Source organism: Homo sapiens, chromosome 9, assembly GCF_000001405.40.
Source record: "Homo sapiens chromosome 9, GRCh38.p14 Primary Assembly".
In the NCBI taxonomy this organism is placed as follows: Eukaryota; Metazoa; Chordata; class Mammalia; order Primates; family Hominidae; genus Homo; species Homo sapiens.
The window spans coordinates 83,312,468-83,340,367 of NC_000009.12; the positions used below are offsets into that span (position 1 = coordinate 83,312,468).

General features: G+C 40.4%; 1 protein-coding gene across 11 annotated transcripts in view, besides 1 other annotated feature; it reads right to left on the minus strand.

Moving 5' to 3' along the window:
- Nucleotides 1–27,900, minus strand: part of FRMD3 (FERM domain containing 3) — a 342,803-nt gene that overhangs the window by 69,476 nt on the left and 245,427 nt on the right. For 9 of the 11 annotated variants that reach the window (NM_001244959.2, XM_024447487.2, XM_047423155.1 and 6 more), the window contains 2 exons: nucleotides 23,049–23,172; nucleotides 1,193–1,280 (listed from right to left, as the gene is read on the minus strand). In NM_001244959.2, coding sequence (NP_001231888.1) covers nucleotides 1,193–1,280; nucleotides 23,049–23,172 — 212 coding nt within the window. Of the gene's footprint in view, nucleotides 1–1,192; nucleotides 1,281–19,384; nucleotides 19,495–23,048; nucleotides 23,173–27,900 lie in introns of those variants that run through there. The other 2 variants (NM_001244961.2, XM_017014589.2) reach the window with 1 other exon arrangement.
- Nucleotides 12,980–13,149: an enhancer, noted in NCBI's record as "experimental_108296 CRE fragment used in MPRA reporter constructs". NCBI's record gives its function as "activates a minimal promoter by MPRAs in K562 erythroleukemia cells, with activity observed for the introgressed 9:85940447 variant allele {active_cell/tissue: K562}" and the evidence as "EXISTENCE:reporter gene assay evidence [ECO:0000049][PMID:34662402]".

The following is a 27,900-nucleotide window of genomic DNA, read 5'->3' on the forward strand; positions in this document are numbered from 1 at the left end:
AGCATCTTGTAGATAAGTGAAGGCAAAGGAATAACAACACAAAGATCAAGTCAGTCTCCAAGAAATAAATAAAATACAGTTCAAATTTCTGCATAAAATTCACTAAAATGAATAAACTGATTAGTACCATTCTAGGAAAGAGCCGCTGGTAAATATTCCAACATTTGCGTAGGCAGAACAAGAGGATGTAAATGCTAGTATGGACAAGTACCCCTGGCTCTCCGCCTTGGCTGCACATTGGAAACACCTGGGTAGCCTGGTCGCCGCACCCACCACTCCCCCTCCGCCGCCCTGCGCCCCGCCCCGCCCTCCTCCCCAGCAGATCCTGACGTAATTGGTGTGGGATGTGTTCTGGTCAGCAGGTGCTAATGAAGCTCTCCAGGTGTTTCTAATGAGCAGCCCAAGCTGAGACCTATAGGACTAATGCTTTGCCAAATAAGATTAGGCAGTCCAATCTGGGTAAAGAAATTTGCCACTAAAACTCCAAAACTTATACTTAAGAGCCTAACTGATAAAATGCTTAGTTTAGGATTAGGACTAGTGTCTGGCTGATGCATAGTCTAATATATGGAAAGAAGAACGTTGCTTCAGTGAAACATTTCTGGAAAATGTATCTATAAGTATCACACCTTGGGAGCTTGATTAAAAAGGCAGATTCCCCAGTTGTACCCCCAGAATTCTGATTTAGTAGCTCTGGGGTGAGGTCCAGGAGATTCTGATATAAGTAGTCTGTGTTTCATCCTTGAGAGAAACACTGTCAAATATGAGTAAAGGAAAAAATAAAAACAAGTGTTCCTAATGCCAAAATGCAACTTGAAATCTTTCTTTTTTTTCCTTCCACTTTCCCATTTTTTAAAGACTCCATTCTTGCTGGCAATGGCCTTGAAAGTAAATGTGTCAGGAGCCTGTAACTCCTCAGGGGCCAAACCATCCATTTGATGAGTGAATCCATGGATGTTAATTTAGGAAAATATGGCTACTACATGGCAATCAATGAACAATTGGAAGACTCCAATGGAGAAAATCAGCTGCCAAAACATGTAACAGCAGCCCACTGTTGTCCCTTCCAATGAGGGACCGTGGGCCAAGCTGTGGGAAAGATTTAACAAGGCTCTGCCAGGCCTGCGCACAGATAAACTCTCTTTTGGGCAAAACAACCATTATATGGTGACCTGCTGTGAGGGGCAGTTACCTTGCATGGGTGAGGATCCACCCCGTAGGTTTCCAAAGTGTGAGCTTTCAGGAGCAAGTTAAATTCAGCAACTGGTGGGCTCTGCCCCCTAAAATCACACAAGAAAAGTTGAGGCAGTTAAAATGGAAAAGAATAGAAACTCGGAATCCCTTCATTCAATAAAGTATGGTGTTCTAAGCTAAATAAAGAGAAAAACCCTTACATAAATAGTAATCAGTAAGACTGATCATTATTTCTCACCACAAGGAGTCCTTTACTAAGGAACCCGAGCTTGTGTTCTCTAGTTAATTGTTCCATAACAAACCCACACGCACTCTGAGCGCTCCAGTGATCCGTACAGTTAATCAAGGTTATCAAGTTACCAATAAGCAGGCCCTTGCAAATTCAACCTTAATACGAAATAAAACTAATCATCTGTTCTTTCTGCTAATTTAAAAACATTATCCAGGTTAAATGGCATGCCTTCTTGCTCAGGGAAAAAAATGCACAATCCTGTTACCCCATCAACAAGCCTAAACAGAGCCATCAAGGCCAAAAGAATTGTCAACCATCCCACAGAGAGCCCTGGACTTCAAAAGGAAATCTCAACCACTAGTCCTAGCACTGTCCTGCGAGGTGGTAAACAAGGTCTTGGCCTCAGGGAGAAAAGGGCTGCAAATATAGATGACCGCGAAGCCCTTTCAGGGCTAACATCTAAAGAAAGACTATGCAACATTTCAAAGACCCCACTTTGACTAATATTAATATCCTACATGTATTTTAGAGAATCTCAATCATTCCCCAAGGATATTTATGTAATTCTAGCAACCAAGCAGAGAAAACAACAGGAATTCATTTTATTTTCAAAATGTAAAATTATATTGCAATATTAAATCTATCTCCACTTAACTTCCTTCCCAAAGACGGATTGTCCCCCCACCCCCTCAAGATAGCAAAGAGTCATCATACCTCTAAATCAAAACAGTATCCCATCTACTTTATTCCTAGAGCCCTTCACAATCTCTTTACCTTTAGTGCACTGGAGTTACACTGATACGTCTGAAGTCACTGTGGTATGTCTAGGGAGCATCTTTATTTATTCATCATGATCCGCACAGTGTAGATCCTTTTAATCCAACAATGCATATCTTTCTTTGACTATTTCTTGATTCTTTTCTTCCCTTCCCCACTTCCTCCACCACTCTCTCTCTCTCCCACTCTCTCTCTTATCTCCTTTGAGAGGCCCTAATAAATGGGTCTTGAAACTTCTAGGTCCTAGGTCTTTTAATCTTTGTTTCATTCTTTATATCTCTGTCTTTTGGTACTATGCTCTGAATTATTTCTTAATTCAAATGTCCAGCCTGCTAATTTATTCTTCAGCTGTGCACATTCTGCTGCTTCTGTCATTGATATGTTTTTTTTTTAAATATCAATGAAATATTTCATTTCCAATGTAATATCTATGTGGATCTTCAAATAGCAGCCTGTTCTCAGCTCATGATCATGAATTCCTCTTATCCCTCTGAGGGTACCACTTCATTTCTATTAAGGTCCAATCTTGTTGGCTGCATTAATGCTGCTTTCTTGGTGAAGGTCATTTTGTATGCTGACTCAGAGTCTGTAATTTGTGGAGCTGATGTTTCCTTAAGTGTTTGGTGATTCCTGTTGGACTCTCATTTTTATATTTGATGTATCAGCCTCCAGAGGTTGAGGGAAGAGTGGGATGTGCCGTGTGGAACAGCATGTGATATGATTTGGATTTGTGTCCCCACCCAAATCTCATGTCGAATTGTAATCCCCAACGTTGGAGGAGGGGCCTGGCGGGAGGTGATTGGATCATGGGGGCAGATTTCTCCCTTGCTGTTCTCGGGATAGTGAGTCCTCACAAGATCTGGTTGTTTACAAGTGTGTAGCACCTCCCCCTGCTCTCTCTTCCTCAGGCTCCAGCCACATAAGATGTGCCTCCTTCCTCTTTGCCTTCCACCACGTTTGTAAGTTTCCTGAGGACTCTCCAGCCATGCTTCCTGTTCAGCCTGTGGTACTGTGAGCCAATTAAACCTCTTAATTACCCAGTCTTGTGTAGTTCTTTATAGCAATGCAAGAACAACTAATACAACATGTATCAGTAACTTGACTGGGGGCCGAAGGTTCTAGTTCTAGGCACGCACACCGGGTACCTTCCGCTCAAGCCTGCTGCTGCCCATGACTCAGCACAAAGCAACCAGAGGGAGGGGTCAAAGTTGTCCACTTGCTTCAAATGTAGTTGCCCACTCACTGTGATGGCTGTTGTGTGTATTCCTGGAGGCACCCAGAAACCCAGAACCACTGCTATTCTAAGTCTGTGTCTGGCCTGGATCCCTTCTGTTTCCTATCTTCCACAGATGTTGCAGGATTTCTGATCCAAAGATGATATTTTCTCCTATTCCTTTTCTAATGCTTTTCCTGTTATCCATAAGGACTCGGTGAAGGAAAGGAAGATTGACATATATGCCACCTTATTCTTTTTTCTCTTTTTTTTTTTTCTTTTTTTTTTTTTTTGAGACAGAGTCTCACTCTATTGCCCAGGTTGGAGTGCAGTGGTGCAATCTCAGCTCACTGCAACCTCTGCCTCCCAGGTTCAAATGATTCTCCTGCCTCAACCTCCGGAGTAGCTGGGATTACTGGTGCCCGCCACCACACCCAGCTAATTTTTGTTTTTAGTAGAGATGGGGTTTCGACATGTTAGCCAGGCTAGTCTTGAAGTCCTGATCTCAAGCAATCCACCTGCCTCAGCCTCCCAGAGTGCTGGGATTGCAGGCATGAGCCACTTCACCTGGCCACCTTTTTCTTTTAATAGAAAAGATCATTTTTAAAGCCATCTACAGAATACTCCTGAGGAATTAAGTCAAATTTGTGCTTTAGAAAAATAAAGTCTAAAGCTTTTCAAGATTTCCTTATTCATTTTAGTGTTCTGAAATTTCACTGTGATATATGTATATAGAGAATATCTTTATGTATTCATCCCAATCAGTACTTGTGGGCACTTTCGATCCAGCAATTACTATCTTGGGCCATTTCTTTGATTCTTTTCTTTTCAAGACACAGTCATTATAATTTTTTCCTTTTGATAAAGTAACAATGGACTCAGGAAAATTAACAACTATATTGACAGGGATGGGAAAAGAGATCTCTGGAAGGTTTTCTTAATCCATATGGTATTTCTCTCTCCATCTCTCTCATAAGTTCTTGAAGTAATATCTTACTCTCCACCAACAAATAAACCATACAGAAAATTATTGAAGTCAGGCTTGGTGCAGTGGCTCATGCCTGTTATCCCCACACTTTGGGAGGCTAAGGTGGGAGGATCACTTGAGCCCAGAAGTTCAAAACAAGCCTGGCAATGTAGCAAGGTCACTTCTAAAAAAATTTTTTTTTAAATTAGCCAGATATTGTGCACTATGATCGTGCCACTGTCCTTCAGCCTGGGTGGCAGAGCAAGAAAGATCCTGTCTTAAAAAAAAAATACAGAAAACAAACTTATTGAATTCACATATTATTGAGCCGTCTCTCATGCATACACACACACACACACACACACACACACACACACTCATTTGTATACTCATCTCACCTTCCCAACTAGGGACAAAGCAGTCAAAATACCCAGCATGTCACTAAGCAGCAACCCACTCTTCTGGCCCTCAATGCAAAACTTCACCCTAACGACCCAGACCAAGACCAAAGTGAACCAGGACCAGAGCCAAAGCAGCCCTGTGCCTCCCATAGCCTTGGGCAATCAGCTTTGCTCGGGGTGATCCTCCCAGTTTACTTGAAAGGCCCTCATTCTACCACCCACTAATAAGTACTCCTCTGATCTACAGAGCTAGCCATTCTCATTATTCATTGAACTGTCACCACCTTTCTAAAAGCTACATGTCATTTATTCATAAAACTCAAGTTTGTTTTCAAAGCATACCCTCTTCAATATAGGAACAAGATAATTGTGAAAGGTTATCATTTGGATGTTCACTTTGAAAAGTGAATAATTTTTCCTTGCCTAGGTGGTCTCTTTCTGACCACTTCCTTGTCCTTCCTAAATCTGATGAGCATCTAATTTCCAATCACAGCCAATCCCAGATGGCAGCAGGGTACCAGTGCTACACAGCCCCTGAGGACACACCCTTAAACTCTAGGACATCTGTTCATCAGGAGATACCAGCCAGGGTGGAAAAAGGCAAGCTACAGTATGGGAAAAGCTGTCAGCAACACGTACAACCAAAAAAGGACACCTATCTGGAATATTTTTTAAACTCCTGTAAATCAATAAAGAGCAACAAAATATGTTTCAAAACCAGTAACCACGACTCCAACCTCTGCACAATAAGCAAAAGACTTAATAGGCACTTACCAAATAGGACGTCTAACTAGCCAATAACTACATGAAAATGTGCTTAGCTTCTTATGATCAAGAAAATGTAAATTATTTTATTTAATTTTTAATGTCTATTTTCTATATATTTAGGAGGTACAAGTGCAGATTTCCTATGTGCATATATTCCATAGTGTTAAAGTCTGGGCTTTTAGTGCAACTATCACCCAAATAGTGAACACTGTAACCCTCACCTCCTCCCACCATCCCATATCTTGTACTTTCCAATGTCTATTACTCTCCTCTATATGCCCATGCGTCTTCATTGTTTAGTTCCAACTTATAAATGAGAACATGCAGTATTTGCCTTTTCTGTTTCTGAGTTATTTCACTAAGGATAATAGCCTCTGCTTCTATCCATGTTACTGCAAAAGACATGATCTCATTCCTTTTATGGTTCAATAGTATTCCATGCTATATATATTATATATAATATGTGTGTGTGTGTGTGTATATATATATATCACATTTTCCTTGTCCAGTTCTCCATTGATGGACACTTAGCTGATTCCATATATTTGCCATGGTGAATAGTGCTGTAATAAACATATGAGTGCCGGTATCTCTTTGATATGATGATTTATTTTCCTTTGGGTAGATATATATACACAAAGGGAAAATAGTGAGATTGCTGGATCAAATAGTAGTTCTATTTTTAGTTCTTTAAGAAATCTCCACACTGTTCCCCCAAAAAGTTGTTTTAATTTACATTCCTACCAACAGTTATAAGTGTTTTCTTTTCTCTGCATCCTTGACAACATCTGTTGTTTTTTGACTTTTTAGTAATAGTCTTTCTGACTGGTGTAAGATGGTCTCTCATTGTGGTTTTAATTTGCATTTCTCTGATGTTTAGTGATGTTGAACATTTTTTTCATGTTTCTTGGCCACTTGGATGTCTTCTTTTGAAAAATGGCCTTCAATGTTCTTTGCTCATTTTTTAAGGGGGGTTGTTTTTTTTCTTGTTGAGTTGTTTGAGTTCCATGTAAATTCCAGATATTAGCCCTTTGTCAGACCCATAGTTTGCAAGTATTTTTCCCATTCTGTAGGTTGTCTGTTTACTCTGTTAATTATTTCTTTTGCTGTGCAGAAGCTTTTTAGTTTAATTATGTCTCATTTGCCTATTTTTGTTTTGCTGCATTTTAGTTTAATTAAGTCCCATTTGCCTATTTTTGTTTTGTTGCATTTTAATTTGAGGAATTGGTCACAAATTCTTTGGTGAATGTCCAGAAGAGTTTTTCCTAGGTTTTCTTCTAGGATTTTTATAGTTCAAGGTCTTATGTTTAGGTCTTTAATCCATCTTGAGTTAATTTTTGTTTATGGTGAGATGTATGGGTCCAGTTTCACTCTTCTGCATGCAGCTATCAATTTTCCCAGGATTATTTATTTATTTATTTAAATGGAGTCTTGCTCTGTCACCCAGGCTGAAATGCAGTGGCATGATCTTGGCTCACTGCAACCTCTGCCTCCCAGGTTCAAGGGATTCTCCTGCCTCAGCCTCCTGAGTAGCTGGGATTACAGGCATGTGCCACCAGGTCCAGCTAATTTTTGTACTTTTAGTAGAGATGGGGTTTCACCATGTTGGCCATGCTGGTCTTGAACTCCTGACCTCAAGTGACCATGTGTTGTGGGAGCAACCCAGTGGGAGATGATTGAATCATGGGGTGGGTCTTTCCCTTGCTGTTCTCTTGATAGTGAATGGGTCACATGAGATCCAATGGTTTTAAAAATGAGAGTTTCTCTGCACAAGCTCTCTCTTTGCCTGCTGCCATCCATGTAAGATGTGACTTGCTCCTCCTTGCCTTCCACCATAATTGTGAGGCCTCCCAAGCCATGTAGAACTGTAAATCAAATAAACTTCTTTCTTTTGTAAATTGCCCAGTCTTGGATATGTCTTTATCAGCAGTGTGAAAATTGACTAATACAATGTATAATAATACTACCGATTTCTGCATATATATCTTGTATTCCAAAACTTTACTGAATTCATTTATTAAATCTAAGAATCTTTTGGTAGCGATTTTAGGGTTTTCTAGATAGAAACCATACCATCAGCAAACAGGGAAAATTTGACTTCCTTTTTTCCAACTTGGATGTCTTTTTTTTTCTCTAGTCTGATTGCTCTAGCAAGGACTTCCAGTACTATGTTGAAAAAGAGTGATGAAAGTGGGCATCTTTGTCTTGTTCCCGTTCTCAGAGGGAATGCTTTGAACTTTATCCTGTTAAATATGATGTTGGCTGTGGGTTTGTCATATATTGCCTTGACTATATTAAGATATGTTCCTTCTATGTCTGGGTTGTTGAGGATTTTCTCATGAAGAGATGCTGAAGTTTATTAAACACTTTTTCTTCATCTATTGAGGTGATCATGTGGTTTTTGTCCTTAATTCTGTATGTGATGTATCACATTTATGGATTTATGTATATTGAACAATCATTGCATCCCTGGGATAAATCCCACCTGATCATGGTGTATTTTCTTTTTATTTGCTGAAAATACAATTTTCAGCAAATAAAATTTGCTGATTTGCTAGTATTTTGCTGAAGATTTTTGCATTTATGTTCATCAGGGATATTGATCTGTAATTTTCTTTTTTGTTGTGTCTTTCTCTGTTTTGGGTATCAGGGTGATACTGGCCTTGCAGAATGAGTTAAGGAGAACTCTCTCATCTTCTATTTTTTAGAACAGTTTCAGGAAGATTGGTATTAGTTCTTCTTTGCATGTTCTCTAGAATTCAGCTGTGAATCCATCTGATCCTGGATGGATGTTGTTTTGTTGTTTTGTTGTTGTTGTTGCTGAGAGATTTTTTTATTACTGACTCAGTCTCACTACTCATTATTGGTCAGTTCAGAAGTTTTATTTCTTCCTGGTTCAATCTTGTGAGGCTGGAATTTATACATTTCCTCTAGGTTTTCTGGTTTGTGAGTATATAGCTGTTCATAATAGTCTCTGATGATCTTTTGTATTTCTGTGGTATCAGTTGTAATGTCTCCTTTTTCACTTCTGATTGTGTTATTTGGATCTTCTCCTTTTCTTGGTTAGTCTAGATAATGGTTTATCAATTCTGTTTATCTTTTTTCAAAACAAAAGAACCAACTTTTTGTTTGGTTGATCTTTTGTAATTTTTTATCTCCATTTCGTTCTGCTCTGATCTTTGTTATTTCTTTTCTTCTGCTAAGTGTGTGTTTAGTTTGTTCTTGTCTTTCTAGTTACTTCAAGTACAATGTTAGGTTATTTTGTGATCTTTCTACTTTTTTGATGTAGGCGTTTAATGCTATAAATTTCCCTCTTAGCAATGCTTTTGCTGTATTCCACAGGTTTTGTTACATTGTGTTTTCATTTTCATTAATTTCAAAAAGTTTTTAAATTTGTCTTAATTTCCTTATTCATCCAGTGATCATTCAGGAGCATGCCGTTTAATTTATATGTATTGTACAGTTTCAAGCATTCCTCTTGGCAGTGATTTCTAGCTTTATTCTGCTGTGGTCTGGGAAGATATTTAATACAATTTCAATTTTTAAAAAATTTGTTAAGACATTTTCTGTGGCCTACTATATGGTCTATCTTGGAGATTTTTTCCATGTACTGATGAAAAGAATGTATTTTCTGTAGCTATTGGGTAGAACATTCTGTAAATGTCTAAGTCTACATGGTCTAAAGTCCAACTTCAGTTCAAAGTTTCTTTGTTAATATTCTGTCTTGATGATCTGTCTAGTACTGTGAGTGGGGTGTTGAACTTCCCACTATTGTTGTATTTCTGTCTGTCTCTTTCTTTAGGTCTAGTAATATCTGTTTTTTGAATGGGGGTGCACTGATTTTGGGTGCATATATATCTAGAATTGTTATATCCTCTTGAGTGTCAGTTCACTTGAGTCTTTATCTCACAGCAGCCCCTAGCAGAGCAGTGGGTATTGTCCTGGGTATGCAAAAGAGAGCCTAGTTTCCTTGTCCCTCCTCAACTGGACATGGTTGCAGCCATGACAACTTGAACTCGGCCCACGGTGGAGTGCAGCCTAGTGTTAAACTCTCTAAAATGACACCTAAGACTTATGACCAGGGAGACCAGGGCCCTTCCCAGGCAGGAAGTATGGACAAGAAGATGTGGATGTCCACTCACATCTCAGTCTCACAGCAGCCCATTGCAGGGCAGTGGGCATTGTCCTATATATGGTAGGAGAGCCTGGCTTCCCTGTTCCTCCTTGGCCAGGTGGCAACTGCAACCACATCAACCCAAACAGTCCAAGGTCAAATGGCAGTCCATCATTAAACTCTCAAAATGATGCCTTGGGCCTAGGAACAGGGAGGGTGGGATCTCTCCCAGGCAAGCAGTGTGGACGAGAAGCTGTGGAGAGTGCAGCCCACTCACATCTCAGTCTCAACAGCAGCTCACAACAAGGCAGTAGGGATCCTCCTAGGGGTATGTAGGAGCACCCATTCTCCTCTCCCCTCCTTGCAGCAGCTCTGCAGCAGCAACCATGTCTGTAGCTCTCCAGTATCTAGGCTCTCAAAATGTTGCCCAGCAGAGGCCACTGTAGGCTTGGATGCCTGTGGGATTCCATGTGGGTTCTCTTTCTAGAGGAATGTGCAATCTTTAGGCAGTTCCACATGTCAGGCCCTAGGCCCTAATGGGTCAAGAGTTTCTCTCATACACAAGATCATAAAAGCTGATCCCTGGAGGTTTCTCTCTTACTGTTTCTCCATGCCCAGGAACCTCTCCTGACTATTAGTCAGTTCCCAGCTGGGCAAGCTGCCTCGAACCCTCTCCTTACTTCAAGTGCTTCCCATCTCCTCTCTGGTGAATCCCAGAAGTCTCTCCTAGACTAGCTGTTTGAAATATATCTACTTATTACTCTGGTTCCTCTCTGTGAAGGAGGCACATACTCCTATATCTAGTCAGCTATGTTCTATGCTATCAGTAAATGCAAATTAAAACTATGAGAAACCACTAACATCTCCATCTGGTAGCTACAGTTAAAAAGACTAACAAAAGCAAGCACTGGTGAGAATGTACAGCACAAGAAACCCTCATGTACTTCTGGTGGAAATTTGGTGGAACTAATCTGGAAAACTCTTTGGCATTATCTACTAAAGTTGAACATGTTTACCCTATAATACAGCAATTCCACTCATAGTTATATACACAACAGAAATTAGTGCATGTTGCACCAAGAAATAGATAGAATTTTCATAGTAGTGTTATTTGTAATAGCAAAAACTAGAAAACAACTCAAATGTCTATCAAGAGTAGAATGAATAGGCAATGGAATACTATACAGGCATGAAAATTGCTGACTTAAAGCTACACGCTATGAGATGAATGAATATCACAAAAATAACATTGAACAAAAGAAGCCAAATGCTACAGTTCAAATATTTGTCCCCTCCAAAACTCATGTTGAAACTTAATCCCCAAAGTCACAGTATTAAGAGGTGAGGCTTTTAAGAGGTGATTGATTTCGTGAGGGTTTTGCCTTCATGAATATATTCAGTTTGCCGTGCTCATGCCCTCTTCATGTGCTGCCTTGCACCACTTCAGGACTCTGCAGAGAGCCCCACCAGCATGAAGGCCCTCACCAGATGCAGTCCCCAGACCTTAAACTTCCACGCCTCCAGAACTGTAAAAAATAAATTTCTTTTCTTTATAAATTACCTAGCCTCTGGTATTCAGTTATAGCAAGAAAAAACAGGCTAAAATACCAGATATAAATGGATATACACTGTATGATTCTATTTCTATGGCTTTCAAAAATGAGCAAAGCAAAACTAATGTGTTAAAAGTCACTGGAAACCCTGGGAACTCTCACCTATTGTTGGTGTGAACATAAGGTAGAGCAACCTAACTGCCATTTCCTAGAAAAGTTAAAGTACAAACTCTGGCAAGTTCCACACTTAGGCTTGTACTTACACTAGGGAGTCCTGTACATGTACCTTAGGAGAATTATTTAAGAAGCCATAGTAACTCTGTCTGCAATAGCAAAAACCTGGAAGCAACCCAAATGTTCATCAACAGGAGAATGGATACATAAAACATGGGAAGTTCATATGATAGAAAATTAATTACACAGAAGTGAAAATAAAGACCTATGGCTGTATGTATCACTGTGGAAGAATCTCATAAATACAATGTTGCTAGGGAAGAAATGAGACACGAGAATACAGTATGAGTCCATTTATATGAAAGTGAAAATAGGCAAAACTGAAGCAATACATCATTGACTAATACATATGTATAAAGTAAATTTATAAAAGCAAAACAAGAGAATAAGCAACCCAAAATTCAGAAAAGTGTACCTATGGGAGGAGAGAGGGAGGTGGTCTGGGAGGGGCACATAGGAGACTTCAGAACAGCTGGTGATGTTCTCATTCACAAGCAATGTTAGGGGATCATGGATGTTTTTTCAATTATTCTTTAAATCCCACACATATTGTATATACTCTGAAAATGCTCTTTTACATATTATACATTTTGTAATGATGAAAAGACACACAATTTCTGCCTTTTTAATAAAGAAATCATTGGATGAAATATTACGCAGTCCACAAGGACCCCCAAACTAAAGGGTATTTATTGATCAAGAGGATAATAGATACATATGCAGAGCTATCTTGTACTAAACTCCACAATTCCAAGCAGCATAACATTTTTTATATTGCCAGGCATATACATATTTTTTCCCTTATTCAGAAACTTGGAATCTTTATCTTCCCTTTTGTGGATGAGAGTTCTGACATTCAAAGAGAAAAATAACTTGCTCAAGATTATTGCTCAAGGTCAATTGGCATTTGCCCTCACTAGTCATGTATGGGCAAACGCAGGATGCAAATGCAAGCTGACCTGGTTCTAAAGTGCTTGTCAGGGCTGGTACCAACATCATCACCAATATCTTATGGTCAAGAGCCATCTGCCTGCTCTCCTGCGTGCCATGGCACAGCATTTCAAAATGACATGATTTCTATCCACCTTTTATGTTTTAAAAAAGCAAGGCAGATGGAACTGGAGGCCATTAATAACACAGAAACAAAGTCAAATACTACATCTTCTCATTGATAAGTGGAAGCTAAATAATGTGTCACATGGACATAGAGTGTGGAATAATAGACACTGGAGACTCAGAGGGTGACAGAGTGGGAGCGGGTGAGGGATGAGAAATTACTTCATGGGTACAATGTACACTATTCCAGTGATGGTTACGCTAAAAGCCCACACTTCACCACTATGCAATATATCTATGTAACAAAATGACACTTATACTTGATAAATCTATTTTTAAATTTATTTATTTATTTAATTCGTTTATTTGAGGCAGGGTCTCACTCTATCGCCCAGGCTGGAGTGCAGTGATGCGATCTCAGTTCACTGCAGCCTCGACCTCCCAGAATCAAGTGATCCTCCCACCTCAGCCTCCTATAGCTAGGACTACAGGAGCATGCCACTACATCTGGCTAATTTTTGTATTTTTTGTAGAGACAGGATTTCACCATGTTGCCCACGCTGGTCTCGAACTCCTGGGCTCAAGTGATCCTCCCACCTCAGCCTCCCAAAGTGCAAAGATTACAGGGGTAAGCCACTGCAACCCACCTAAAAAATTCATTTAAATTGCAACTTTTTCAAATTCTAAACATTGCCATTTATCAATGATAAGGCAATTCACTCCAGGTAACTGATACTCAGATCCGATTAGAGAATAGTGATATCTCCATTTTAATCTGAAACTAAAACCTGCAGGCCAAATCTGGACTGCCTGCCGCCTGATTTTGTACAGCCCTCAAACTAAGAATGGGTTTTACATTCTTACATAGTTCAAATAAATCAAAAGAATAATACTTCATGACTCATGACAATTACATGACATTCAAATTTCAGTGTCTATAAATAAAGTTTTATTGGAACATCATCACACCCACTTATCTGCATATTGTCTACACATGCTGTCATGCTACAACAGTAGTAGTTGCAATGAAGACTGTATGTTCTACAAAGCCTAAAATATTTGCTAGTTGACCGGGTATAAAAAATGGTTTTCTGAACCCTGATCTGGGTCCAGAACACAGGAACGTGAAACCACAGGAAGCCATGTCTATTTGATTCTAAAAAATGAAGGTGTTTCTGTAAAAAGAGTACCTACCTCCAAGATTTGATGCAAAGATTAAGCAGGTAACAGATGTGAATCTGTTACACTAGTGCTTAACACACAGTATGTTCTGTCCTTGCCCTCAGACTACCATGTGCTCCCTTGCTAGCCCTACATATGGCTGAAGTCAGAAATACTGTGCTGAGGGGAATGTCAAGCAGGATGTCGAGATATTTACAACAAACCAAAGGCCCATCTTTAAAATAATTCTCAAGTAAGCATCATTTGCTTTGGGCTTAACCTCAGATCTCCACTGGCTAAGCATTTAAAAGACTTAATTGAAAATGTCATACACAGGGAAAAACTAACTGCAAATGCTCAGAGAAGGCAAAAAGATCAAAACCAAAGGAGAAAAGGCAGGGACCCTGATAGGACTGGAGACTCCTGAGGCCCAGACTCACCAAGGAAGAAACCATTTAATGATCCATTTTTTCAGGAAGATACTAAGATCAATTAAATAGAAAGGTTGGGGTTTTTTCCTTGAATCTCCCACTGGGCATCTGTTTCTGGCAAAAATTCTGGTAATGGAAAATAATGATTTTCTGTCCGTCAAATATTGCATCAGGAAATGTTCCACTCAGATTAATAGTGTCTCTAATGAGACATTTAAAGGTAAAGACCAGTGATTAGTTGACTTCTTTTCAAAGAGCTAACAATTCTCCAAAGATAGGCTTTTCTAATATATTAGATGAGGTCAAGTAATTGTGTATTTAGCTGTATGTCTCCCTTCTGCCAGTTTTGAGTACTTTTAGACAAAAAGGAACAATTTCCCTTTTATTGATCCTCCTTTAGCATACCATTACATACAGTACAAAACCAGATAGCATCCCAGGAATAAATGTCAATTATTAGTGGACATTAATTGTGGAATAAGATGTGGATCTTGCCAGCAATGAGCTGGACTGCTTGGAACACAGTTGGCAGGGAAGGGAGTGGTTCTGGTTCCCTCTGACCCATCTGAGCCTAGGAGCTCTAGAATGAAACCTATGGGCAGAAGAGCAATGTAATGGTGTAGAAGACCAACATAATGGTCTTCTACTTCTGAAAAACAGAATTCTCAATTTGGCTTAGATTACATTTTGCTGCAACTTGGTTGCAACTTTACTTAGATTTAGCTTTGTTGGAATAAAAGATTTTCCACACCACTGGCTTCAAATGTTTGGGAGTGCTCTCAAGACTTGCCCTTCAGCAGGGCTTGGGACTTTAGCACTCAGCGACTGCAGGGAGCTGTCTATGCTTTATAGCATTCATGTGGAATGTGGGCTGGAGAGAGATTCCTTTGCTCTTCAGTGTCATCCCTGGCTCTCTGGACTTTAGAAGACTTTTCTCCTCCCTGTCATCCTGCCTCCTGCCGTCAGCAAGGGCTTCCCCACCCAGGCTGAAGGTCTGGAGTGCCTCTAGGGGATTTCACTCAGCTCTCATGCTGGTTAAAAGTTTGCCTAGTTGCCCTTAGCCCTGACCTAGGGTGTAATCCTTCTCTTCCTGTCACTCCACCAGAAGTGAAAGCAGCTATGCGTTTCCACTCTCCTAAGAAAGACATTCTGGATTTTAATACATTCAGATCGATTTGCATCTTCAGCTCTCAGATGGGTTCAAAAAATATGATTTTGTAATTTAGCCAGCTTGTTGGTGTTATTTTGGTGTTAGGAGAGATCAATATCTCATGCCTTTCTACATCCTAAATGGAAAGGAAATGAGAGTTCCCAGTCTGTCATTTCCAATCTTTCACTTAGAGAGGGACATTATCTCTCGCAAATCCTTTTAGGAGCCATCTTTATGCAGAGCATTAGATAAAATGCTGCAAATTTGGACAGCTGCCACGCTATGAAAGAGACAGTGGTAACACCCTGGGGCCATGCAGGGACAAGGCTTATAGGAGAGCAGCAACTTAGAAAGATATTAGTGCACAATGCACGGAAACTCAAATTTCAGGTCAAGTTCTATTGCTTCATAATTGTGTAGCCTTGGATAAGTTAATTTCTCAGAACTCTGTTTCCTTATCTGTAAAAAAAAAAAAAAATGGTGGCTGCAAACTCAATGGAAGGAGAAGGTAAGTTGGCAGAGCAGGGATGGTGGCAATTCAGAGACAAAGGATTCTTTTAAAGAGGCACTGCTGCTGAGTGTTGCCACACAGAAGTCAGGGAGCCATGTGACCAAAACCCCAGTCGCAACTGAAGCCAGAACTTTATGGCAACTGGTTCCATTTTTTACAGCTATTATTTGGCTCAAACTACATACATCTGGGTCACAGTGTAGTCCAAGGACTGTCATTTTATAACTACTGCTTTGGACTCCAAGGATCCCTTAAGCATAGAAATTGGCTGTCAAATTTCTTTGCTGTTGGCTAGTGACCTCTTGATAGTCGAAGGCGCTAAATGATAGTCAAAACTGTCTTTGACTAATAAAAATTAGGAGGCAAATTAATTGTTGCTTCATGAATTATTTTGTAGATAAAATCTTTCAAACCATGAGGTCATAGGGGAGTGTGGATGATGAAGGAGACCCCAGCTTGGGGATGAAATGGCCGAAAATCTGGGCTAGGCCATCCCACACTACTACAGTGCCCCACAAAAGGCTGCTCTTCGATAAATATTAGTGGTATGAATGGATGGATGGAAAGATGCATGGATGGATGGATGAAATATAAATGGATAGAAGGATGGATAAATATCCTCTGGATAAATTCACTGTTATAGTCTCATTGAAAGTTCAAAGAATCTTTAGCTCTATGCATAAGTTAGAATCACATGTGAGATATAATCAGACAATGTATTAAGTAATGGCTGACTCCTACTTTCAATAATATAACCCTCTCTCCTTCTTCATGGCCACATTGCACTTTGGTAACATTGCTTTTTCCCCCTTAAGGTCATCGTAGCTAGATTTCACCTGTATAAAAAACATGAATGGCTTGGACATGCACACCACTTGCCCCAGCCCATCCCTCCCTAGAAATGTCCTTTACCCTAGGCCACAAAATGCCAGGACTTCATTTTTACAGTGAACGCATTTGATCCCAAATCATCCCATCTTCCCCCTTCCTAAGAAAGGTGCTATACCAAATAGCAACAAAAAATGCAAATTGATTTGATAATCTACCAGGGAGAGAGATTCTATGAGTTTGGAAGGGACTTGGGAAGGGAAATGATACAGGGAGAGAGATCGATGACAAAGAGAAAACTCATCTTAAGAAAGATTGGGGTTGTAAAATAACCAGACATTTATTTCTTGTCTTCTTTTTACACAATAAACACACTTCTCAAAACTGACAAAAACATTTCTTAAGAGGGCCCTTGTGATCTATTCATCAGAAGCAAAGGTAGAGGATATTTTTCATGTCAGGGTATTTGTTTCTAGAAACCTAGACGTTTTTAAAATGATAACTCCATTTTTTTAAACTATAGCCATGGCGCATGATTTACAGAGAATATAACCTTTAAGAAATAGAGATAATTACTCTGTTTAAAAAACACACTGTGTCATTCTTGCTTCTAGCACAAACCTCACTGCCCCGGATCATTATAGTGTGGCTAGTTGGATGATTTTCCTGCTCTTCAAGGGCAAGGAATATACTTCATCAAAACTGCTTTACTGCCAATTGAGCCTTTTGAATATTTAAAAGCTGATGACCTATGACTGAAGTTAATGCAAATGTCTCTGTCTCTAATGACAAACCTGATGAACTGGTGATGAGAGGAAGAAAAGACTAGCTGAGTAGAAACTCTAGGAAATACCTCCAGCAAAGTCTATCAGGGTTCTTTATGGTAAAAGCAATCTTATTCTTGATCTTAAACCCCTTCCGAGCACCCTCAGGACTAACGGAATGGGTATTTCCTCTTACCCCAGGTGGCTTTGATTAAAGCTGTGGAAAACAGAAACCAAGAGGGACAAAAAGAACAGAGGACTGGCGAGGCATGGTGGCTCACACCTATAATCCCAGCACTTTGGGAGGCAGAGGCGGGTGGATCACCTGAGGTTGGGAGTTTGAGACCAGCCTGACCAACATGGAGAAACCCCGTCTTTACCAAAAATACAAAATTAGCCCGGCAGGGTGGCGCATGCCTGTAGTCCCAGCTACTCCGGAGGCTGAGGCAGGAGAATTGCTTGAACCCAGGAGGTGGAGGTTGCGGTGCGCAAAACTCCATCTCAAAAAAAAAAAAACAAAAAAAACAGAGGACCATCAAGTCCTCAGGGGTTGCAGCAATGGCTTCCTCCAGTCACCAGAGGGCTCTAGAGGGAGGAATAACCTATTTCTAAATCAGTCCTCATCTCTGCACACCAAGCTTAAAGTCTGAAAATTACAAGAGATTATTTTTCACACATAGTTTTACAAACAAATATGGCTCCTGATAACTTAAAATTATCTACAGAGGCAGGAGAGTGAAGTAGAAATTGATTCCATACCTGGTCTGCCATGTGTTTAGAACAGGAGTCAGCAAGCTAGGACCCATAGGCCAAATGTGGCCTGCCACCTGTGTTGTCAATAAAGTTTTATTGAATCATGGCCCACTCATTTAAGAATTGTCTATATCTGCTTTTGCTTTACCAAAACAGAGCTGAGTCACTGCACTAGAGACCGTATGACCCAGAAAGCCAAAAATATTTAACTAGCCCTTACCTAGAAGAATCATTCGGCTCAGTGGGTTATGTAAGTGACACATCTCCATATCATCTAGTTCACATGATATTAAAAGGCCCAAAGATGCCTGTATAAAAATCTTTCTAAATGCAACTCTATTAGCTAGAATGACCAAAATCCAGAACACTAACAACACCAAATGTTGGCAAGGATGTGGAGCAACAGGAACTCTCATTCCCTGCTGGTGGGAATGCGAAATGCTACAGCCACTTTGGAAAATAGTGTGGTGGTTTCTTATAAAACTAAACATACTCTTACCATATGATAGAGCAATCATGGTGTTTGGTATTTACCCAAATGAGTTGAAAACTTATGTCTACACAAAAACCTACACACAGTTATTTATAGCAGCCTTATTCATAATTGCTCAAACTTGGAAGCAACCAAGATGTCTTTCAGCAGGTAAATGGATAAATTATGATACATACAGACAATGGAATATTATTTTATGCCAAAAGGAAATGAGCTCTTAAACCAAGAAAAGACATGGAGGAAACTTAAATGCATATTACTGAGTGAAAGAAGCCAATCTGAAAAGACTACACATTGTATGATTCCAACTATGACATTCTGGGTAAGGCAAAAGCTATAGAGACAGTAAAAAGATCAGCGGTTGCCAGGGGTTAGGGGAGAAGGAGGGATGATTTTTAGGACAGGGAAACTACTCTGTATGATACTATAATGGTATTGGTATTGCAATGGAATGATACTATACATTCATCAAACCCATAGAGTGTACACCAAGAGTGAACTCTAATGTAAACTATCAACTATGAGTGATTATAATGTATCAATGTAGGCTCATCGGTTGTAATACATGTACCACTCTAGGAAGGATATTGATAATGAGGGAGGCTATGCATGTGTGGGAAAGGGGTATAGAGGAAATCTCTGTGCCTTCCTTTCAATTTTGCTGTAAACCTAAACATCTCTTTTAAAAAATAAAGTCTATTAAAAAAAGAAAAACAACTCTATTAGTCAATGAGTTGTGAGGGCCATTAAGGGCTGGGTGCCCACTGTTTCCAGCTCCTATTACCTTCTGAACACCATAGAATTGCATTTCCTTGATCCTGGGTAAGATCTTGGGATGAGTCCTGATCAGAGAGTTGTAAGCAGAAGTGCTATGAATCACTTCCGAAATGAAGCATGACCTTCCAGGGCTCTTTTCCTTGTGGCTCAACATCTGGCAAATCCAAGTTTCTGACTTCCCTGAGTGACAATGGTGGGCGGAGCCCCCCAGCTGGCCTCTGGTGGGCACAGAGCAGAGTCAAGAAGAAGCCTTTCTTGCTCTAAGCCACTGAGCATTGGGTGTTTGTTTCCTCAGCAAAATCTAACTGATCTTGACTGAAATAGAGATGATCGATAACTATAACATGCTACTATATTTGCAAGACTGTTGCTTCTCCCTATCCTCCAGTACAGTGAAGGACTCAGAAGAAGAAACATTGATCCAAGCATGAACTTTTACCTTCAGTCATCAATCTAATTTAGTTCATGAAAATTCTTCTTAAAATCTTGGTCTTCTTAAAACTCCAAGGAAGAGTCAGTCTCTCTCTCTCTCTTTCTCTCTCTCTCTCTCTCTCCCCCCACCATCCCCCAAAGAACTCTGTTATTCTTGCCTATCTATCAGGCCATCTTGGTCCCACCTTCAAGCAGTCTGTAGCCTCCCAGAGAGGAAATTTCTTTTTTCTCTCTCATTAATTTTCTGCCAAGAATGGTGACTTTTTTTCCTCTCTCAGAGATCACAGGAGCAGAATAATCCTAATCAATAAAAAGGCTGGGAGAAGGTTGTGAAACCACCCCCTCCTGAGGTAAACATGTTGATCTCCCTGTAAATCATCATTTCTGCTAATATTTGAGCACCTGTTGTGTTTTATTTCTCAGCTGATTCAGAAAGCAGGAAGGAAGAAGGAGGTTATTTATTGGGTCCCTCAAACCCCAACAAAAGCCAACTGGAATCCTCTCAGGAAGTCTTCAGAACAGCAGTTCGATGGCCACACACCATCCCTAGCTAAGTGGGAGGGTCACGGGTGTTGTGGTGACTCTGGAGAGCAGGATGGCCATGGTTTGGTGCAGCCAAGCACAGGTCTTCTCCATCCATGACTCCTTCCTGGCTTGGTCAGGTTTGCAGAGTAATTCAACCAAGGCCCAATTCCTTACACAAGACAGATAACACTTTCTTGACCTGTGTATGAAGGGGTGGTGGCACCCCCAGAGCACCTTCAGTCCCTGTAGCAGGTTTCCCAACAGACGCAAGAAAGCTCCTCTCCCTCTGCACTGTCAGCCTCTTCTGCTCTTCTTGTCTTACCCTCCAAACCAAAAGTATCTCTCTGCTGCACTGATGCTGAATGAAATACAGAACTACTTAGAATGAGCAAAAATACACAGGGAAATAGCCCCTGAAGCTGTCCTTGCAAGGTGATATGATTCCTGACAGGTTCATCCTTCAGGCATACAACTCCCAACTCTTCACAAAGGCTTAATGGATGTTTCAAATGTGCAGGACCACATGTGCCATAGAATGGCAGCTTTGATCAAACCACAGAACTTACTTCCAAGATTTATAAAGTGCGAGTGACTGATGACCCCCGTCTTCCCTGAGTGCATGATGACCACTTTCAGTGATCTCCACAAGCTCAGGTGCTGGCCCAGGGTCCAAGCTACAGCTTTCTGAATGTTAATAAAACAACTTGGAATCTTCTGTGATTCACTCATTTTCTCATGAAATTGTGGATCACCAAGTCTGGCTGCAACGCCTCTCATGACTCTCTTCTTTCAATTTCCTTTACTCCTATTCTTTTTCAGGTCCTTCCCGTTTCTTGTCTGAATACCAGAAATTACTAACTGGCCCTCCTGCCCTGGTTCTCCATCCTCAGGCACCGCTGACATGGTGATCACCGTGAAACACCTACCCGACTACCTGATTCCCTTTAAACGCTCAACAAAGGGAGAAGAGCATGGGCATACCTTGAGCCAGGTAACCCAAGGTTCAAGTCCTGACTCCACTATTTACAAAGCACAAGTCCTTTAACCACTTCAGCTTGTACTTTCCTCATCCCACACTAGAAAGAACAATAGCGCCCATCTAATAGAGTTTGGGAGAACTGAGTGGGATAATGCACTTAAAGCTCTTAGCACAATGTTTTGGCATCTAGTAAGTAAATGCTCAATAAGTGTATATTATTATCCTATGTTCTGAGCGTTAGAGGCCCTGCAAATTCAGGGCATAGAAAACCTTTCCATTCCCATCTCCTATCAATTCAAACAGTGGGTGCAACTCCTTCATCCAGGGATTCTCACCCTGTGCTCCCCGGAACACTGCTCTGCCACAAACCCCTCCACAAAAATATCGAACTTTATTTCTACCTCTAGTACATTTGTCTCCAAAATAGCAAAAGAGTAGTGAGAATTTCATGTATCTTCAACAAGGCTTTTCATTAGGAGACAATACTCTAAAATTACCCACATAGATGGCCTGTTGCTTTCTGAAAGTAGTACAATGTTTTGATGTCTAATCATCTTTATCTCTAAGACTAAGCGTCATATTTTCCCAGCTGAAATAAGCTGCCACCTTGAATGCCCTCACATATACTCTTCCCAGACTCACCAGTAGGGGGCGCGCCTGCATAAAGGAGGGAGCTAGAACAATTTCCTCACACCGGGACAGTTGTCTGTTCCAGAATGCATAATCCAATGATGCAATTTTCTTTATACTTACCAGAGGCCTAGAACATGGAAGCATCTCAGTTCTTGCAGTTTTTCATCAACACTTGTCATAACACTGCCCATGCTTGCTATTACCAAAATGATTTTTTTTTCTGTAGTTTGCACAGTATCTAAATTCTAGCTACAGACTAGACTACTTGAATTACCTAAATTCCAAGTTGGCAATGATCCCTACACACACTTCATTTGATTCCCAGCAGCCCATGTAGAGTGTAACCATCACACAGGGCATAAAGGCACAGACTCTAGACCAAGACTGCCAGAATTCAAATCCCAGCTCTGATACTTACTAGCTGCGTGACCTTGGGTAGGTTGTTTAACCTCTCTGTGCCTCGGTTCCCTCATCTGTAATATGAGAATAACAATAACCTATCTCCTAGGTTGTTGTGAAGATTAAACGAGTTAATATGTGCAAAGTGCTTAGAACAGTGTTAGGAACGTGGTGAATGCTCTATGCAATTTTGCTTCTACCACTGCTACTGTGCAGCTATCATTGAAGCATCGCAGGTGAGAAAAAGAGGATCAGACACTAAATCTGTCATCTTGAAAGTAGCTCAGCAAAGGGAATCTTCCCAATGGATTCTATTCTACTTGGAGTCAATGCTTCCAGCTATGGCCACCGGTGGGAAAAAGGCAACACAAAATTCAAATCAGAAAGGTTTACTTATTTACCTTAGATTCCACTTTCAGAAGCTCAGGGTGTTTAGAAATCCATATGTGTAAGAAAATACATGGATCTAATAACTACTGATGGATCATAAACAGCCACTCATAGGACTCCAAACTGTTGAGATTGTTATTGACGGAGGACACCAGGGTGTCCTTGACAGTGCCCAGAAAAATTGCGCTGCCACGCAAAACAGCCTATCCATACATTACAAATATTCCTCCTTCACGATGTGATTTCCACATTCCCTGCAGTAAGAATATTTTCTCCCCTTTATCATTTTCACAAATGTCTACTCAGTAATTACCTGAGTTCATTTTTATGAATTTCCACTATTTTTCTTTCCAGCTTCTGTGACTGCTTGGGGAAAATCTCAAACTCACTGATGTAATTCTCAGGATGCTCATCAGGATCGTAATCACCAAGCTCAGCTGTAATGAGTGAAAAAATAAAGAGACAGAGAAAGATTAAAAACAATAACATGAGCAGGGTGCATATGGAGTGCCTCCTGCCATCCAAAAGAAGAGGCTGGAATAAACTCACCCAAAAATATGTATCTGTACCCAGAGAAAGCCTGAGTGTCTAGAGGCTCATATTCCAGTTCAGATCGAGCTGTGTGAGCTTGGGATCTTGAGAATCTTCTCTGGGTCTCGCCTTCTTTATCAGTATAATAAAGGATTTAAATTACTGTTTTTCAGTGGGGACACCATTGGCATTTTGAGGGCTGAACAATTTTATTATTTCAGATTTTCTAAGGAACTGTAGGACATTTAGTAGCTCTACCCTTCAGGTACTAGATGCTAGCAGCAGACCCAGGCACTGTGACCATCAAAACTGCTCTCTCCCAGAAGTTAGTCAAAGAATACAGGATTTCAGTTAGATAGAAGGAATACATTCAAGAGAGCATTGTACAACATGGAGACTATAATTAGAAACAACGTATTGTATACTTAAAAATCCCTGAGAGGGTAGCTTTTAATTGTTCTCACCACCAAAACAAATGATAAGTATATGAGGTAATGTATATGTAAAGCTCGGTTTAGCCATTCCACAATGCATACATATTTCAAAACATCAGGTTGTATACCATAAATATATATAATGTTTATTGATTTAAAATGTTTTACATTTTTTAAAAATTTAATGCCCCCGCCCCAGTATTTCCAAATGCTCCCCAGGATAGGAGGTGGTACCACCTTTAGATGGAAACCAGTGGACATTCCTCGGGGTTCCATTCACAGCTAATATTCTCTGTGTCAGGAATTCCCTGACTGGAGCTGCCTGCTCTGAGGCTTATGCAGGTGTGGCTTATTCATTGAAAAATCACTAGAAGGAACCCAGCGGGATTGCACTTAAAAACAAATTGATTGCTCTTGAAATTAAGGAGTATACATCTAAAACAGAAGAGCATACTAGATTAAAGTTGTTGCTGGAGTCTAATGAGAAATAAAAATAAAATCCTAAGCCCCCCAACAGACTGAACATTGCCCCCACTTGGCCAAGAGGCCCCAGAGAACCCTTAAAAACTGAGTTCCCAGACATGATGAGGTCAGACCTCATTATACCCCCTCCCTCATTAATTGCTATTAGGTTTCCTACACCAAGGGTTAAACAGAAACCAGCCCTTCTGAAAGACTGCACCACTGATATCAACCAATTGCCGATGCTGCCCCTCCCTTTTGTGGTTTTGACACAGTAACTGATCAGCATTCCTTCCTGGTAAGAGACCACTGACTACAAAGTGGTTCTGGCCAGTCTATGGAGGCTGTGCACAGAGGGCCTTTGTGTCCTCTGCCTCACCTTTTGTTGTATAGGCCCTAATGATAATACATTTAAATGTTAAGTCTCCACCCAAAAGTGAACATGGGATGCATGTTGCTTATGTGCTAGCCTACTATGCATGCCTGTGCCTTCCTTTTGTGACTATTCACAGCCCCTATAATAACCTGTTGAATACGTATACTTGGCCACCCCATTCAGCATAAATCTTTGTCTTATTCTTCCCACCCTTGAAGTGCTTGTTTCCAGCTTCTGGCCAGAGTCTACGTTTCCCCACCTGTCAGAATGGCCACCCTGCAAGCTGCAACCCTTTGTGAGAAATAAAGCTCTTCTTTCCAAATTTATGTACTTCATGATTCTTCAGCTGACACTAACAAAGGGCACCTCCAGAGGATCTTCAAGGGTAAAAAGAGAAATGCCTACACATCTCTGAGCACCCAGAAGGCCAAGCAGAGATGGGTGTGTGAACCACAGCATGGAGGGGCAAAGGTGATGTCTGGCATCAAGAATACTTTCTATTGGTTCCACAAGCATGCTAAGGAATATGAGCCAGAAGAAGCAAGTGTCTCTGGAAGAAACAAAAGATATGGCCCAGGAGAGTAGACTAAAGATAGTGGGAAAATTGTATTAGAAGAACCTGATGACCAATATGACTTTGAAGTAGAAAAAAATTAGTATGCCTTGAGTGCATCTGAAAAATTACATCCAACTCTGTAATTTGTATCCACTGTCCCTTCATTGTCACATCATCCAATGACTGGAAAAGTATATAACCAGGAGGAAATCAAAGCTCTTTAAAGCTTCTGGACAAAATTCAAATTACAGAGTTCTTAAAACAACCTAGAACATATACCACAGCGAGGGAAGACTTCTAAAATAAGACCTAAAATACTTTCAGTCACAAAGGGGAAATTGATTAATTTGATCATACCAAAATTAAAATTTATTTCTGTTTAATAAAGGACATCAGAGTCAAAGTAATAGAGAGATGACAACTTGAAAGAACATATCTTCACAATCTAAAGCTGACAAGGACTAATATCTAGAATAAAGAAGAAATCCCTACATATCATTTTTTAATGGACAGGAAGACCAATAGAGAAATGGTCAAAGGATAATGAACAGACAATTCAAAGAAGGGGAAACCCTAAGGGCCAGTGTAGGGAGAGATGCTCAAACTCATGAATAATTAGAGATATGCAAACCAAAACAAGATGTTACTTTATACCTATAACATTGGCAATAAAACTAGGAAGTTGGCAGAGACACAAGAAAACAAAAATACTTGTGCACTGCTGAAGGGTGCTAGATGCATGTTGCTCCTCCAGAGAGCAAGGTGGGAGTTTTTAGTCAAATATTATGACCTAGCAATCCCATTTCTGGGCATTTTTCCTAGAAAAACTCTAGGTGCAAAAAAAGGATATGTTCAAGGTTTTTTTTATGACAGCATTAATCATAATAGTCAGAAGTTGGAGGCAACTTGGGTGTTTATTGTTAGTGGGACAGCTAGATAAGTAAAACATGGAAGACGCACCCTTTGGGACACTCTGTCACAGTTAAAATCAACAAAATAAGATGTACGTATGCAATATGGACAGATCCCAAAAGCAGTGTTCTGAGCGTAAGAAGGAGGGAATACAATGAGTTCTATAGCATCATTTAATTTATGAAATTTAGAAGTATAGACACAAAAAAACAATATTAATCATTTTATAAGGATGGATACAAAGACAAAGATATGTATATGAACCCAGCATTGCCCTTAGGAGTGGAAATGGAGAATAATGGAAAAAGGGAAATCAATCAATCAATCCATGGGCCTAAAGGGACCAATGATGAGAGGTGGGCCATAAACTGATGATTAACTCAACCTATGTTCCAAAAGAAATACACGTAACATGTCCACCTTTACACACATACACGCTTGTGCCCCTGTGAGCTAGCTACAGGCATTAATATTTAGGAGATGGACGATCCCAGTGCTTCCATTTTCCATAGGTAATTTCCAAAGGTGATGGGACAATGGACCACCAATATGAAACTGGGTCATCTTCAATGCAAATGTCAGCTTGCAGAGTGGTTGGTGAGGGAGGGCATCGTTTTTCAGGGTGCCCTTTTCTTTCCAGGAAATCTTGTGAGATATTATAGACTTGCAATGCTACACACTGCAAATGTTAGAAAAGTTAGAGAAGAAATGCTGTGAAGACTGCACCGGATTGCTGACAAGATTAACACTGTCCCCATCACAGGCCCTGCTCTGATTCCCTAAAGCTTGTCTTTAACTCTGACCTCTCCTTAAGCAGAAGGCAGGTTTTTTAAAATGAATAAAGATTTCTAGCTATTCATACCAAGAGGAGTTGGGTAAGCCGCCATGGTTCTCCCTCCTGCTCATGACTTGGAAGTTGAAGTCGTGACAAATGACATACAACTGGAGGCCCTGCGGTTTGAAACCAGCTCTAGCACTTTTCTAAAAGGATTCAATTCTAAGAGAAAAATCCAATGAGTTTGAAGTGAATGGGTGAGTAAGGTCAGAAACAGTAAGTCTAAAAAGCAACAGGCTTTCCCCTGGTTTGGAAAGGACTCATTCCAAAAGAATTTGAGATGCAGGACCTTTAGCTCCAGGGCCAACTCCTTCAGGAGCTTTCCCTGACCCATGCTTGCTAAGTCAGGAGCCCTCCTGGGACACTCATAGCAGGGACTGGGCCTGTGTGTTCCTCCATCTAACCAACAACGCAGGGTCACAATGGCCTGTTTCCTTATCCATCTTCCCACAGGAACTTTGTATTGCCATGTGGCCCCCTAGCAACTTCTCAGGAAGTATTTGGAGAACACATGAACAAATGAATGAATGAGGTAGTGATACCATCCCAGCAGGCGGCCAACCAGTCTTTCCCATAGTTAAATGAATCAGGCACAATCATTTAACTAAATGTTAAATGAATCAGGCACAGTCATTTAACGAAATGTTAAATTTAAACGTTAAATGGTTGTGACTAATTTAATTAACCATGGTTAATCAGGGCAAGTTTGAAGCTTCAGTATATTCTGAGTTTATTAAAAACAGTCAATCAAGCCAGGTGTGGTGGTGCACACCTGTAATCCCAGTTACTTGGGAGGCTGAGGTAGGAGGATTGCTTGAGGTCAGAGTTTGAGACCACCCTGAGTAACACAGTGAGATCCTGCCTACAAAAAAATACAAAACCTGTCAATCACCTGGAGTTTAGGCAAGTGCCCCGATTCATTTCAGGCAAGTGCCCTGATTCATTTAACATATTTAGTGGAGAACCTGCTGTGTGCCAGACACAGGAAGAGTGCTGTGAAAAAGCACCCAGATCCTACTCCCATGGAATTAGATTCTATATAAGAGGAAATGCACAATA